Consider the following 17,537-nt stretch of genomic DNA (forward strand, 5'->3'; position numbering starts at 1 on the left):
AGTACTGCTTATTTCCTTTCAGAAGTAATCCTTGGTGCCAAAAAACTGTTAATAAAAGTCTTCTACAATCAAGAAAAGGACAAATGTAAAAATTTAGTTGGCTTCCTTCCCTCAATTCTACTAATATAATTCAAATTTTTTAATCAAATTCATTTGACTTAAATCACCTACATTAAGGTACAAAAAGACAACTCAGAATAATTTACTTCAGAAGTTTTCTACTGATTTCTTTTTGGAAAAAAAAAAAAAACTAACTAACTCTGAAGGGGCAAGAATATAAGCCGCTATACTTCAGAAATTTGTTGGCAAAGAGAAAGTATATTTGGTGGCTTACACAGCCTATTTCAAGGAATGTTTAACTCAATGTTATCAAAAATGATCAGAGTGGTACCACGCAGCTGTAATCCGAGTCATGTTTTACGAACAAGGGAATACAAACAAGACAAGCAGCTGGAGCAACCTCATAGTCACTGATGCACATCTTTCTCCTCAAAGCTATGAAGGCCATTTTGTCAAGCAGGATGAAACAGAACAAAAGTGGCTCTGAAAGTAATGTTATAGGCATTCAGATAACTCCATATAGATGTACAGCTAAAATTACCAATTAGTTTACCAATTGGCTGCAACGGATTTGATTGGTTTGTAATTAATTCTAGTTACTGGCGCACAGAGCAGGAAGGTTGGCGCCATCCCTTTGTCCTCCTGACACACAATACTAGTGCACAGGCCCTTGGGCCCACGACATCAATACAGCCCTCCAATTCAGCTACAGGAATTAGCACAGTGGAGTACTCCCATAGTGATAAAGGGCTAGAAACATGCACTGCATGAGAAGTCAGTGACAAAAGGGAACCTTTATGAAAAAAAATGAGCTTTACCAAAATGAAAACGAGTTTCTTAAAACATTATTTTTTAAGAACATCTTATCTAGTTTTTTGAATGTTACTACTGGAATAAATAGTTCAACAGGGAAATCATCTAAAAGCAAAACATCAAGTAAACCATTTGCAAAACTGTCAATATCATTCACAATCTTCAGTTTTCAATCACTCATTTTTTTAAAATATCTCTCCTAAATTTTTAATATAATCTATTTGCAAAAAGAATACTTAATATCTTCACCAACCAAAACCTTACAAATTAAAATCTGCTAATGGAAGCCATTCTCCTTTATAATTTAAACCTTACCTGCATCTTTGTGGGTAAATAAAATTTGTAGTTGCCTGGGTAGTGATACAAATATTTTACTGCAATTCCTAATCAATTTTTATCTCAACTCACTTGCAAGTTGGCTTGACTAGATGCTTCTAATAGTATTTCCCACTAAGAAAAATCAGAGACCTACTGCCACTAAGAATAAATAGACAAAAATGCTAAGTTATAAAGCTCAAAATCAATACACTCAAATTCAAATCCCTCATAGATGCCTGCACAGTTACCTCCAAAAAACTGCTTCAAGATCTTTCTTTTGCCTGGAATATTCTCCCAATACCAATTATATGCTTTTATTCAGCCTCAAGGATCTTCAGCCCTCATCTAGTCCAACCTCTTCATTTATGAACACAAAGGTTGAATACAATTTGGTGATTTTTTTTTTAAATCACACAACTAGCTTAGAGGACACACTAACATGACTGTTAACTGATGATAGCTCCTATTCTCCCTTTAACAGCCAGCACAAATACCACAAATACAAACTCTTCTATGATCCTACAGCCAGAAGTTACCTCTCCTCCTACGGGCCGTATCAAGTATAATAACTAATGTCAATGGATATTCAAGTCCATAAGTGCTATAAAAACAAAAGTCCTTTCTCTTTCAAACCATATTTGTCCATAGTAACACATCTCACTTTCTAAGTTATTAGTCAAAAAAAATGTTATTCTTAAAATATTTACCTTCATTGAGACAAACATGCACAGAGGAGCAAAATTTATTCCAAAATTGTAAATTGACTATCTTTTCTCCACAGTGATCAAATCTCAAATCATTTCAATAACCCAGAATAATAAAAAACAGAATCATAACCTTTCCTACTACACCTAGTGGTCTGGGCACCAAGAAGATCTGTTTTTTCTTTTGTTTTGTTTTTTTGAGACAGAGTCTCGCTCTGTTGCCCAGGCTGGAGTACAGTGAGGTGACCTCGTCTCACTGCAACCTCTCCCTCCTGGGTTTAAGCAATTCTCCTGACTCAGCCTCCCAAGTAGCTGGGACTATAGACGCACACCACCACGCCCAGCTAATTTTTGTATTTTTAGTAGAAACGGGGTTTCACCATATTGGTCAGGCTGGTCTCGAACTCCTGACCTTAGGTGATCCACCCACATCGGCCTCCCAAAAGTGCTGGGATTACAGGCGTGAGCCTCCGTGCCTGGCCACAAAAAGATCTGTTTTCTATGTTGCAGTCATTATCTGAAAAATTTCTATCATTTCAAATAGTTAAAAAAATTTTCAATTAAAAAATGGAATTATCTCAAAGACTTGGAACCAACCCAAATGTCCAACAATGATAGACTGGATTAAGAAAATGTGGCACATATACACCATGGAATACTATGCAGTCATAAAAAATGATGAGTTCATGTCCTTTGTAGGGACATGGATGAAATTGGAAATCATCATTCTCAGTAAACTATCGCAAGAACAAAAAACCAAACACCGCATATTCTCACTCATAGGTGGGAACTGAACAATGAGAACACATGGACACAGGAAGGGGAACATCACACTCTGAGGACTGTTGTGGGGTGGGGGGAGGGGGGAGGGATAGCATTGGGAGATATACCTAATGCTAGATGACGAGTGAGTGGGTGCAGCGCACCAGCATGTCACATGTATACATATGTAACTAACCTGCACATTGTGCACATGTACCCTAAAACTTTAAGTATAATAATAATTAAAAAAAAAAAAAAACGGAATTATCTCAATAAAAAGTGCAAATAACCCAAGTCGACATCCATAGAAGGAGGAGCATGGATGTTCCCTCCTAAAACAAAGTCTTTAAATAAATTATAAAAGGAAAAAACTGTGGCATTTAAATCAACATGATGTGTTTGATGTAAGGCATTTTTGTTATACTTCACCCAAAACAGTGCATGTTGTAATATTCATTAAATGTGGTTGAATAAAATATAAGTCCACTTGTGTTTCCAGTCCTTAGCTCTGAGGCTAACTTGTTATGTAATTTCTAACACATAATTTAGTTTTACAGCTTCCCATCAGTAAGATAAAATGGCTAGATTATATGATTTTTAAGATCACATTCAGATCTCATGATTCATTTTTCAGTTTCATATTCTGCTCTATTTTGGTTTCTATTACCAATCACATACATGATTTTCATTCTTTTTTTTCTGACAAAGCGAAGTTGTAATGTGTCTAAATCGTAATGAATTAGACAAAAAAAAGTAAGGTGGAACTGGATTTCACCCTCCAGTTACTATTCTTCCACCAAATTGACTTGAACAAATGTCCACTTCCCAACATCCCATTTCTCTTTCTTTCCATTTCCTCTCTTTGTCTAAAAGCTACAGATGACTGCTACTGAGATTAAGTCCAACAAAATCTCAGGGCTGAGGTTATTTCATCCTGTTGCATTATGCCAGTTCCCAAATGAGACACTAATTCATTTTTTAAAAATACGTCTCCACTTGGAATCCCATAGCCTGTGGACTCGGTCCTGAGGACTCAGCTTTCTCAAGCTCTTCTGTAGTGAGTATACAGGCAGCTTAGCACTAATTATAACATAACCAAAAAAGTCAACTAAGACCATACAGTAGGAGGTTTTAAAAGCCAAAATGATTAGTCTACTGTGGATTCAGAAGCCTATAGAGATAGAATTGATCCAAGTTTTACAGCAGGAAAGTAATATGAAGGACTATAAAAAGAAAAAAACTAGAGGAGGACACACCAAAAAGATAACACTTCATCGGAGAGTAATAAGAGTCTTCAAAAATCAGTATCTTGACAGTAGGAAAGAGGGAAGGAGCTTGTGAATGGAAAAAAAAATGCAAAAGATGAATGGATAGGAACTTTGTAGTCAACAAAATATAGAACACAGGTGACTAGAAAAATGGTGGTTCCATCAACAAAAATAAATCAGGAAGAAATAGTTGAAAAATCAAAGTATGGTATAAATTGGTATAATACCTATGTCTAGAAACTAGGCTAACATAACTAGGAACTTATCCCAGTGCTATGGTTTGAATATTTGTCTCTTAAAAACTCATGTTGAAATTTAATCCTCAATTGTGGCAGTACTGAGAGGCATGGCTTTAAGGGATAATTGGGCCATGAGGGCTCTGCTCTCATGAAAGGTTTAATGGGTTAATGGATTCATGAATTAGCATGGGAATGAGACTGGTGCATTTATTAAGAGGAGAAAGAGAGGCCTGAGCTAGTAGGCTCAGCCCCCTCACCATGTGATGTCCTATGTTGTCTTGGGACTCTGCAGAGAGTCCCCACCAGCAAGAAGGCCCAAACCAGATAAAGCCTGTCTATAACTATGAGAAATAAATTTCTTATCTTTATAAAGATAAGATTTGTATATATTTATATAATATATAATTATTTTATAAATTACCCAGTTTCTAGTATTCTGTTATAAGCAATAGAAAACAGACTGAGACAACCAGACAAGTCAAATTTGACTAACCCAACAGTAGTTATGATATGGTAATTACAGTCTCAAGTTATTCCATTATTCAACATACCCAAAAGGAAAAAAATCAATGCTCTATCATATTGATGATAATGTATATGAAAACTAGATATAAGGAACAAAGATCTGTCAACTCAGAAATTGTCAATAAAGTGTCATGTTAAACAGAGTAAAAAATGACAGCTATCTATCTCTACAACTTAAACACTCATAAAACAATGCTTTAGTAAATGTTACATATACAGGAGAAATTACTTATTTAACCAATCAAACAGTAAAATTTTACTGTGAAGACTACAATGCATGAAACACAACAGGGAATATGCAGAATAAGGCTAAGAAGAAAAGATACAGATACAGATGAAGAAACGATGGCTATTAATGTAAGACAATGGTGAGGTAACAGAAGCCAACTCCCATAAATGCAGAAGTGAACTCTTAGCCTTCTATCCTTGTCCTGAATCTCATGTTCTCTGTAACAAATTTCAATTCCTGAGCTAAAGTATAACAGGCAAATCAAAACGATAAGATTATAACATTAATATCAGACAAAACAGAATTCACAGTGAAAAGCATTTAAGGGCCAGGCTGGATCAAATGATCCAGCAATCCCACTACTGGGTATTTACCCAAAGGAAACGAAGTCCTTGTATGATAAGGACACATCATGCACATGCATGTTTATAGCAGCACAATTCACAATTTCAAAAATTTGAAACCAACCTAAATATCCATCAACCAACAAGTGGACAAAAAAAATGTATATATACACCATGAAATACTACTCAGCCATAAAACAGAATGAAATAATGACCTTTGCAGCACTGTGGATGGAGTTGGAGGCCATTATTCTAAGTGAAGTAACTCAAGAATGGAAAACCAAATATTTTATGTTCTTACTTACAAGTGGAAGCTAAGCTATGAGGCTGTGCAATGGCATAAAGAATGATATAATGGATTCTGGGGACTCAGGAAAGGTGGGAGGGGACACAAGAGATAAAAGACTACATAACACTATTGACAGATCAAGGAGATTCAGAAAACTAGTATTTGGAGAATCTAAATATTAATTTCAAAAATATAAATGTAAACCTAACACTATCTATAGAGAATCCATGTTACTCACTCCTCCATGTCCAAGGAGTATTTGTAAATACTTAGCATCACTATCAGGCTTCTCTTATAATCATTTCCTTCCCCATCAGCTTAGGTTCCATGGCCCATTACTCCAACTACTCTCTTACCCTCTTCAACTCCTTTTACTCTATTGAAATCCCAATGCATCTGCTTGAAGAACATTAGCGCAAGATTAATCCATATACCCACCATCTTTGTACCTTTTTAGCATATGACTGGCTGCTAACAATCACTGGGGGAATTAAGAATCACACAACTATGAAGACTAACGTCAGTGCAACTGTGTATGAAGTCTCATGGCTTCACACACCCATTCAACACGTATTTACTGGGCATTTCCTATGATCCAGTGCCAGTACCAAGTACTGAAGATGGAGGGGTAAACAATACAGTGTTGTTTCTATCCTCATGGAGCTTAGTGTCTAGAAAGGGAGACAGATATTAAACAACTAAATATATAATTATTTCATTTCAACCGTGATATATATTTCCAAAGAGAAGCATATACACTATAAGAGCATATCATAGTCTGAAACGTAAGTTAGGCTCCCCTGGGAAAGTGACACTTAGGCTGAAATGTAAATTATGAATAGGAGTTAAGTAAAAGAAATGAGTAAGAAGGTGTTGGGCAAGGAGAAGGAGGGAAGAGTGTTCTGGGCGGAAAAATTAGAACATGGAAAGGCCAGGAAACATGCAAGGACATGATATGGTTACAGAACCAAAGGAAGTCTGATTTACATGGGGCAGAAGGGAGGGGACAAAAGTGGTGTGAAATGAAGAATTCATAGATCAAGTCACTCAAGATCCTTAACATCACCATGTTAAGGATTCTGATGCCCAGAGTAAAGAAAAACCGTTGAACAACTACAATCAAAGTAATGAGAGAGACATATTTGTCATTTTCTAAGTAGCAATCTGCCTGCAGTGTGGAGAATCAATTAGAAGGATGCAGGGAGTCCTGTTAGAAGGCTTCACTTGTAATCTAAGCATTTTATGACAGCTTGGACTAGGATGGTAGCAGTAGAGTGAGAGATGTGAATGGACTGGAAAGAATTAGGAGGTAATTCTGAAAGGAATTAATCCATTGGATAGTGAGTGGTTTTGTGAGGTGAGGGGAGGAACAAAGGACGTCTCCCAGGTCTCAAGCACAAACACCTGGGGGTAAAAGTAGTATGTGTCATTCAAGGAAGAGAAACACATCAGGTTTGAGGTGGGAAGGAGATATCATGAACTTTGTTTTACCGGTTTAAAATGTTGTGAGACAGAAGAGCCAAAATGGCCAACTAGACGTAGCCAGGAAGAAGAGCTTCACCCACCAAGAAAGATCAAAACATCAAGTAGACTGGCACACTCCAAGCAGATCTTTGTAAAGAAGGCATTGAGAGTGGATAGAGGGAGAAGACAGATCCTGGGGCTGAAGGGGAAGGAAGCTGGGAACCCCGAACAGGGTTGCCAAGCACCGTGACCCATTCCTGGCCCAAAGTGGCTCCTATGGAAGGGGTAAGTAAAACAGGCATGGAGTGGTCCACCCTCACCAAAGACCTGCAGGAGCCCCTCATGACCTCCACAGGCATTTGAGATGGCAGGGAGAACTGCCTGGGGAGTTGGCAGAGAAAGAACTCCAAACTGCATGGAGCCCAGAGGGTTAGGCATGGGGACAGCTACTATGGAGCATGGCCATGGGCTCCCATTCCCCAAGGCTTGCCATACTCCTATAGGTAGGGGTTTGGCCTTTCTTAGCTGCCAGACCAGGAGAGGGCAGGGCTGTCTTGCCTGCAGTACAGGGCCAGTCTGATCTAAATGCTCCCATTTGCTGGCCTCTTTCAGGGTCCCTCCCTGGCCACACACACTCGCAACACAGCCACAGTGGCCCCACTGAAATGCTTGTCAGTGGCCACTACCATAACTCTTTCCCAGCCCCCACCCTCCCATAGGAGTGCTTTTGTAGACAGGACCCTGCCGGCACACACACACCCACAACATCCCCTTGTCAGCATGCATGTGCATGAGGACCCACCACCACTATGCACATCCACAGGGCCCCCATTGTTCTGTTGGTGTACACCAACCCCTCCCCCTCAATCACCCCATTGGTGAGTACTCACCTATGGCATCCCCCACCACCCTACTGGTGCGCAATCACCTGTGGTTGCCCCACCGCCGCACTGGTACACACTCACCCACAATGCCCCCGCACCACCACCACAGCATACTCTCCCATGACCCCTTCCATCACCCCACCGGAGCATATTTGCTAGCAGCCTGTCAGAATGTGGTTGTCAGCTGACTGGGAGTACCTCGGTCCCTCAAGTGCAGCAGGTGCTTGACCTCTAGGGACCAGAGAACAAAGCTGCAGGCCTAGTTCCAGCCCCCCAGGGTTAGAGTCCACAGCACAGGAGTGCTGTGCTGAGGCTTGGTGGCCTGAAAGCATTCAGAAATGAAGCCAACTGACTAAACCCAAATTATACCACAGTCAAACCCTCAAGGGCATCAAAGAATATAAGAGCAAAAGTCTCTATCCAAAGAACAGCAACTTCAAAAATTAAAAGAACATCACCACACACAGATGAGAAAGAGCCAGCACAAAAATTCTGGCAATTCTCAAACCAGAGTATCTTCTTATCTCCAAATAACTGCACTAGCTCCTCAGCAATGGTTCTTAACCAGACTGAGATGGCTGAAATGAAAGACCTACAACTCAGAATCTGGATGGGAAGGAAACTCCAGAAGACATAGGAGAAGGCTGAAAACCAACGCAAGGTAAACAGTGACACTATCTATGAGTTGAAATACAACATAGCCATTTTAAGAAAGAACCAAACTGAACTTCTGGAAATGAAAAATTCACTACAGGAATTTCACAATACAATTGGAAGAATTAATAAGAGAATACATGAAGCTGAGGAAAGAATCTCAGAGGTCAAAGACTGCTCTTTCAAATCAGTGCAAGCATATAAAGAAAAAGGAATTTTAAAAAATGAACAAAACCTCTGAGAAATATGTGATAATGTAAAGAGAACAAACCTCTAACACACTGGCATTCCTGAACGAGTCAGAGATAGAGCAGGCAATTTGGAAAACATATTTGAGGAATTATACGGTTGGATCGGTGTCTCCTCCCAAATCTCAAGTTCAATTGTAATCCCCAGTGCTGGAGGGCCTAGTGGGAGGTGACTGAATCATGAGGGTGAATCCTTTATGAACGGCTTAGCACCATCCCTTTGGTGCTGTCCTCATGACAGAGTTCTCACGAGATCTGGTTGCTTAAAGTGTGTGGCACCTCCCCCTCGCTCTTGGTCCTGTTCCTGCCATGTAAGATGCCTGCTGCTCCCGTTTTGCCTTCTGCCATGAGTAAAAGCTCCCTGAGGCCTCCCCAGAAACAGATGCTGGATGCTTCCCGTACAGCCTGTGGAACCATTAGCCAGTTAAATCTCTTTTCTTTATAAACTACCAAGTCTCAGGTATTTTTTCATAGCAGTGTAAAAATGAACTAATACTCAGAAACTGTCCATGAAAATTTCCCCAACCTCACTAGACACATCAACATGCAAATTCAGGGAACTGCAAGATACTATATAAGACAACCATCCCCCAGACACATAATTATCAGATTCTCCAAGGTCAATGCAGAAGAAAAAACCTTAAAGGCAGCTACAGAGAAGGGGCAAGTCACCTACAAAGGGAAACTCATCAGGCTTACAGCAGACCTTTCAGCAGAAACCCTACAAGCCAGAAGAGATTGGGAGCTTATATTCACTATCCTTAATGAAAATAAATTCCAACCAAGAATTTCATATCCAGCCAAACTAAGCTTCATAAGCAAAGGAGAAATAAAATCCTTTTGACACAAGCAAATGCTAAGGGAATTTGTTACCATCAGACCTGCCTTAAAAGAGGTCCCTAAGGGAGTGCTAAACATGAAAATGAAAAAACAATAAGTGCCACCATAAGAGCCCACTGACACGAAAAAGCAACTATACAATCAAGTCGACATAAGAATCAACCAGCTAACAACATGATAATAGGATTAATGCATCACATATCAATATTGACCTTGAATATAAATGGGCTAAACATTCCACTTAAAAGGCACAGAGTGGTGAGCTGGATAAAGAAGCAAGACCCAACTGTAGGCTGCCTTCAAAAGACGCATCTCACATGCAATGACAACCACAGACTCAAAGTAAAGGGATGCAGAAAGATTTATCAAGCAAACAGAAAACAAAAAAAACAGGAGTTGTCGTTATTTCAGACAAAACAGATTTTCAACCAACCATGATCAAAAAGGACAAAGAAGAGTATTACATATTGATAAAGGGTTCAATTCAACAAGAAGATTTAACTGTCTTAAACATATATGTACCCAACATTAGAGCACCTAGATTCATGACATAAGTTCTCAGAGACCTATGAAGAGACTTAGATAACCACACATAACAATAGAAGATTTCAACACCCCACTGACAGTGTTAGACCGATCAAGGTAGAAAATTAACAAAGATATTAAGGACCTAAATTGACACTTGATCAAATGGACTTAACAGGTATCTACAGAATACTCCACCCAATGACAAATGAATATAAATTCTTCTCATCTACACACAGCACATACTCTAAGATGAACCACACACTCAGCCATAAAGCAATTTTCAACAAATTCAAAGTGAAATATACAAACTACACCCTCAGACCACAGTGCAATAAAAACAGAAATCTATAATAAGATCTCTCAAAAACATACAATTACATGGAAATTAAGCAACCTGCTCATGAGTCATTTTTGGATAAGCAATGAAATTAAGATAGAAATCAAAAAATTCTTTGAAACTAATAAAAACAAAGAAACAACATAAGAGCATCTCTTGGACACAGCTACAGCAATAGTAAGAGGAAAGTTTATAGCACTAAATGCATACATCAAGAAGTTAGAAAGATCTAAAATTAACAACTTAACATCATACCTAGAGGAAGTCAAAGAAAAAACACACGGGCAAACCAACCCCAAAACTAGCAAAAGAAAATAAATAACCAAACTCCGAGCTGAACTGAACACTGACGGGCAAGGATACTCACCACCATACTAATAAGGAAGAGCTGAACTGAACAACATTGAGACATGAAAATCCATTCAAAATATCAATGAAGAAAAGTTGGTTCTTAGAAAAAAATAAACAAAGTTGATAGACAGCTAGGTAGATTAATAAAGAAAAAAAGATTGAAATAAACACAATTGGCAATGACAAAGTTCACATTACCACCAACCCCACAGAAATACAAAAAACCCTCAGAGACTATTAGAGACACTTCTGTGCATACCAACTGGAAAACCTAAAAGAAACGGATAAATTTCTGGAAACATACAACCTGCCAAGACTGAACCCAAAAGAAACTGAAATCCTGAATAAACCAATAATGAGTTCTGAAATGGAATCATTAAGAAAAAACCTAAAAACCAAAAAAATCCCTGAACCAGACAGATTCACAGCGGAATTCCATCAGATATACAAAGAAGAGCTAATAAGAATTCTACTAAAAGTGTTCCCAAAAATTGGATGTTGGCAGAGACGCAACATCCAAAGGCTCCTAGAACTGATAAATGAAACTTCATTAAAGTTTCAGAATACAAAATCAATATACAAAAACCAGTAGCATTTCTATACACCAATAACATCCAACCTGAGAACCAAATCAAGAACACAATCCCATTCACAATAGCCACACACACACACACAAATAAAATGTCTAGGAATAAATTAAACCAGAAAAGCTCAGGCCAATATCCCTGATGAACACAGATTTAAAAAAAAAGAAAGAAAAACAAAACTGAACAATATACTAGCAAACAGAATCAAGCAGCACATCAAAAAGTTAATTCACCATGATCAAGTAGGCTTTATTCCTGAGATGTAAGGTTGGTTCACACATGCAAGTCAATAAATGTGATCCACCACATAAACAGAACTAAAAACAAAAACCACATGAGCATCTCAACAGACACAGAAAAGGCTTTCAATAAAATTCAACATCACTTCATGTTAAAAACCCTCAACAAACTAGGTATAAAGATAACATAACTGAAAATAATAAGAGCCATCTATGACACTCTCATAGCTAACATCATACTGAATGGGCAAATGCTGAAACTATTCCCCTTGAAAACCAGAACAAGACAAGGATTCCCACCTCACCATTCCTATTCAATGCAGTAGTGGAAATCCTAGCCAGAACAATCAGGTGAGAGAATAAAATAAAAGGCATCCAAATAGGAAGAGAGGAAGTCAAGCTGTCTCTGCAGACAATATGATTCTATACCTAGAAAACCTTATAGTCTCTGTCCAAAGGCTCCCAGAAGTGTTAAGTTTCAGGACACAAAATCAATGTACAAAAATCAGTAGCATTTCTATACACCAGTAACGTTCAACCTGAGAACCAAATCAAGAACACATTTCCATTCACATTAGCCACAAAAAAAAAAAAAAAAAAAAATCCAGAAATAAATTTCACCAGGGAGGTGAAAGACCCCTACAATGAGAATTACAAAACAATGATGAAAGAAATCAGAGATGACACAAACAAATGGAAACATATTCCATGCTCATGGATAGGAAGAATCAATACTGATCAAATTGCTATACTGCCCAAAGCAATTTACAGATTCAATGCCAAACTACCAACTACCAATTCCAAACTACCAACTACCAATGCCAATTCCTAACTACCAATGTCATTTTTCACAGAATTCAAAAAAACTATTCTAAACCTCATGTGGAACCAAAAAAGAGCCCCAATAGCCAAAGCAATCCTAAGCAAAAAGAACAAAGCTGGAGGCAGAACACTACTCCACTCAAACCATACTACAAGGCCATAGTAACCAAAATAGCATGGTACAAAAATCAGATACATATAACAATGAAACTAGTTAGGGAACCCAGAAATAAAGCCACACACCTACAAACATCATATCTTCAAAAAGTCAACAATAACAAGCAATGAATAAAGGATTCCTTATTCAATAAATGGTGCTGGGATAACTAGCTAGCCATATGCAGAAGACTGAAACTGGACCACTTCCTTTCACCATATATAAAAATCAACTCAAAATGGATTTAAAAAGTAATTGTAGGCTGGGCACGGTGGCTCACACCTGTAAATCCCAGCACTCTGGGAGGCTGAGGTGGGAGGATCACGAGGTCAGGAGATTGAGACCATTCTGGCTAACATGGTGAAACCCCGTCTCTACTAAAAAATACAAAAAATTAGCCGGGCGTGGTGGCAGGCACCCGTAGTCCCAGCTACTCGGGAGGCTGAGGCAGGAGAATGGCATGAACCCAGGAGGCACAGCTTGTAGTGAGCCGAGATCTCACCATTGCACTCCAGCCTGGGCAACAGAGAGAGACTCCATCTCAATGAAAAAGAAAGAAAGAAAAGAAAAGTAATTGTAAAGCCTCAAATTATAAAAACCATAGAAGAAAACCTAGAAGATACCATTCTGGATATATGTCTTGGCAACAATTTCATAACAAAATCCCCAAAAGCAATTGCAACAAAAACAAAAATAAAAAATAGACAAGTGGGACATAATTAAACTAAACATCTTCTGTACAGCAAAAGAAACAATTAACAAAGTAAACAGACAACCCACAAGATGGGAGAAAACATTCACAAACTATGCATCTGACAAAGGTCCAATATCTAGAATCTATAAGGAATTTAAATCAACAAGCAAAAAACAAACAGCCCCAATTAAAAAATGGGCAAAGGACATGGACACTTCTCAAACAAAGACATAACACAGCCAACGAGCATATAAAAAATGCTGTATCAGTCTGCTCTCACACTACTAATAAAGACATACTTGAGACTGGCTAATTTATAAAGGAGAGGTTTAACTGACTCAGTTCAGCATAACTGGGGAGGCCTCAGAAAACTTATGATCATGGTGGAAGGGGAAGTAAACATGTCCTTCTTCCATGTGGCAGCAGCAAGGAGAAGTGTGGAGCAAAAGGGGGAAAAGCCCCTTATAAAACCATCAGATATCATGAGAACTCACTCACTATCACGAGAACAGAATGAGGGTAACCACCTCTGTGATTAAATTACCTCCCACGATATGTGGAGATTATGGGAACTACAATTCAAGATGAGATTTGGGTGGGGACAGAGCCAAACCATATCAAATGCTCAACATGACTAATCATCAGACAAATGCAATACGAAACTACAATGAGATACCATCTCACATCAGTCAGAAAAACTATACAACCCCATTTAAAGCTGGGCAAAGTACACGAACAGACATTTGTCAAAAGAATACACACACGAGCATATGAAAAAATGCTCAACATCACTAATCATTAGAGAAATGCAAATCGAAACCACACTGAGATCCCATATCATACCAGACAGAATGGCTATTATTTAAAAGTCAAAAACAGATGCCGGCAAAGTTGTAGAGAAAAGGGAATGCTTATACACTGCTGGTGGGAATGTAAATTTGTTCAGCCACCATGGAAAGCAGTTTGGAGATTTCTCAAAGAACTGAAAACAGAACTACCATTTGACCCAGCAGTCCTATTATTAAGTATATACCCAAAGGAACATAAACTGCTCTACCAAAAAGATATATGCACACATATGTTCACTGCAGCACTATCCACAATAGCAAAGACATGGAATCAACCTAGATGCCCATCAATGGTAGACTGGATAAAGAAAATGTGGTACATATACACCATGGAATACTATGCAGACATAGGAAAAAACAAGATCATGTGCTTTGCAGGAACACGGATGCAGCTGGAGGCCATTATCCTAAGCAAACTAATGCAGTAATAGAAAACCAAGTACCAAGCTCTCTCTTATAAGTGGGAGCTAAAGATTGAGTACGCACAGAAACAAATATGAGAATAGGAGACACTGGGGCCCAACTCCATCAGAGTTTTACATATACTCACCTAGCCAAGCGTCCCCAAAGGAAGCTCCTATGACTCTAATACCTTCATCTATGCCTATGCTCCTTCCCTCACATAGATCATTAGATATACTCGGGTCTTCTCTACTTGATCACTGAGAACTCCTTTCAAGGCATACTATCCTAGAGTCCCTTCAAGCCCAGCTGGCACAGGCTACTCCAGCAAGTCTACTGTGCTACAAAATCTCTAAGATGCAGGTGCCAGTCTCTATATCCAAAAGTGTCCCCAAGCCTCCAGAGACACACATCTAGTTCCCTCCAGATTGAAATGGGAAACAAGGAAAGGAAAATAAAATGTATTCCCAGCATGTTTTCCCCCAAACTCTCTCAACACATTCCAGAGACACCAAAATCAGTCCACACAACAAACATTCAACCGGAGAAGAAGATGCCAATCTCCCCTTCCGGCAGCCACACCCACAAATTTCACAACCAACTCTTTCAACCCTTACCTCAAAATTTTGTGAGAACAAATGAGGAGATGGCCACCACTTCATTAAGCACACTCCAAAAAGCAACTCCCCCAGCCCACCCTAGCTTACTTGGTAAGAGAGCAAGGGAAATGTAGGGGTGATGCTTAGAGTTTTGCTGGAACGTCAGTTCTTAGCAATTTATGTAGTAAAGTAGCCAATGTCATAAACAGGCACAATCTTCAAACTCAAAAAATGAGGAATGTATCTTCTTTTGATTACAAAGTTAGCATCTAGTCAGAAATCCTGGGCAAACAGGAAAGATACTTTTCACATCATGCTATACTTACCATGTGAATTACATATATGTGTTATTAACTGCATTTTACATATGAGACACAGAACTGAACTGTGATTATTTTAACTAAGGCTAAAGGATAAAAATCACAAATAGGAAAAAATCTTTCAGTGCATTAACAAAACAATGGCTGAATCCACGTACAAAATGAGGAAAAATTATTGCGTCATGTATCTCATAAAGATACTAACCAAATGAGATCATGGATGGCAGTGCTTTGATAATGAGAATAAAGCAAAACAAAACAAGAAAACTAGTTAGTATATACCCAGCATGTGCTTAGACCAAACGTTAAATTTTATCTTCTTACATCACCACCTGTAAGTCTTGGATGAGGAGAAGAGTAGAATATAAAAATACCTTTTAAACTCCTAGATTTCTCAGCATAAGCCTTTGAGCATCTTGGCACAGAATAAAGAATGGAAAACACATCTCTATTCCTCTCACTTTGTCGAAACTTTCTCCATTCTTTTAATCTATAACTTACACACAAAAAAATCTATTGCTAGTAAGCTTTTATAAAGCTTGGAATAAGTGACAGAACCAGAAATAAAAGCCACACTTTCTTGTGGCCAGTTCTAGCTTCCTAAAACACAGTCATGTCAGAGACAGGTGCAAGTTTCTGCTTATCACAAAAAGACGTCATTGCAATTGGTCAATCTCACTTTACTCAAAAAGTATATATATTTTTAAGTAAATTTGATTTCATCAATCAGTCATTTGTTATTTTTAAACAACAACAAAAAAAGAAACTGCTGCTTTGATTAATCTCTAGGGGTAATCTAGAGATATTCTAAGCCCAAATGCTCAGTTTACAAAGCATAACAGAAAACTAAGTCCAGTAGTGTCTTCTACCGCAACATACTGACTCATTATACTCCAAGAATATGATTTTACTTAAAAATGTTTTTCTTTAAACATAAAAAGTGGCTGGGCATGGTGGCTCATACCTATAATCCCACCACTTTGGAATGCTGAGGTAGGAGGATCGCTTGAGCCCAGGAGTTCAAGACTAGCCTGGGCAACATGATGCATCCTCATCGCTACAAAAATTTTTTTAAAATTAGCCAGGCATGGTGGCATACGCCTGTGGTCCCAGCTACTCAGGAGGCTGAGGCAGGAGGACTGCTTGAGCCCAGAAGGTCAAGGCTTCGTAAGCCATGTTTGTACCACCACATTCTGGCCTGGGTGACAGAAAAAGACCTGCCTCAAAAAAAAAAAAAAAAAAGTTTTTGTATGTTGATAGTAACAACATTTAAGTGTAACAACCACACAACATATATTTAGATGGTTTCAACTACTGTTCATTTTGAAACCTGCTTTTGATAACTAGTATTTTTAAGTTAGTCTAAAACCTATTTTGACTGTTTCCAATTTAAGAGGAAACATAGCTGCTGTCTCAATATGTAACTCTTCTTTAACCCCTCATATATTTCAAAGGTTAAATAATGAATTCCAGGGTTTTCAACCATGTTCATCATAAAAACAGAAGTTATCTCTTTAATATTTCTGTAAACATGTATCACTCTGGTTTTCCTCAAAATAGTTTTATTCAGTAAAAAGTAATATGGTATAAAGTCTCTACTTACTAAAAGGCCAGGCTTTTTAGATAGAGACACTCTACACCATGTGTCTGTTTAATATCCTACTACAAACACAAGATTATTTAAAATTAGAAAACACACCTTACAATGACATCCCAATCCCACCCAGGATTGTTTATCGTTAGCCATCAATCTCACTTTTCCCTGACCAAAGTGAATTAGAAGAGTGATAAGTATCTCAATGGAAAGGGAGTAATGTCCAATTAGACATTAAACATGAAACCAAAGAATGTGAAATCTCACTAGTGCCATCTACAGCACCAACGGAGAATACAGATAAGAAGAATTTTAAAAATAATGTTGTGTGTGTATCCAACCCTTTGATTCCCTGCCCAGAACTATGTGTCAAGACAGCTTTCTACCAAATCCTTCACAGAACCTAAAATATATAATT

General features: G+C 38.3%; 1 protein-coding gene across 28 annotated transcripts in view; it reads right to left on the reverse strand.

The window, feature by feature from the left end:
- Positions 1–17,537, reverse strand: part of SCAPER (S-phase cyclin A associated protein in the ER) — a 557,437-nt gene that overhangs the window by 475,765 nt on the left and 64,135 nt on the right. The window lies entirely within an intron of this gene.

The sequence above is a fragment of the Homo sapiens genome, chromosome 15 (assembly GCF_000001405.40).
Source record: "Homo sapiens chromosome 15, GRCh38.p14 Primary Assembly".
Taxonomy (NCBI): Eukaryota; Metazoa; Chordata; class Mammalia; order Primates; family Hominidae; genus Homo; species Homo sapiens.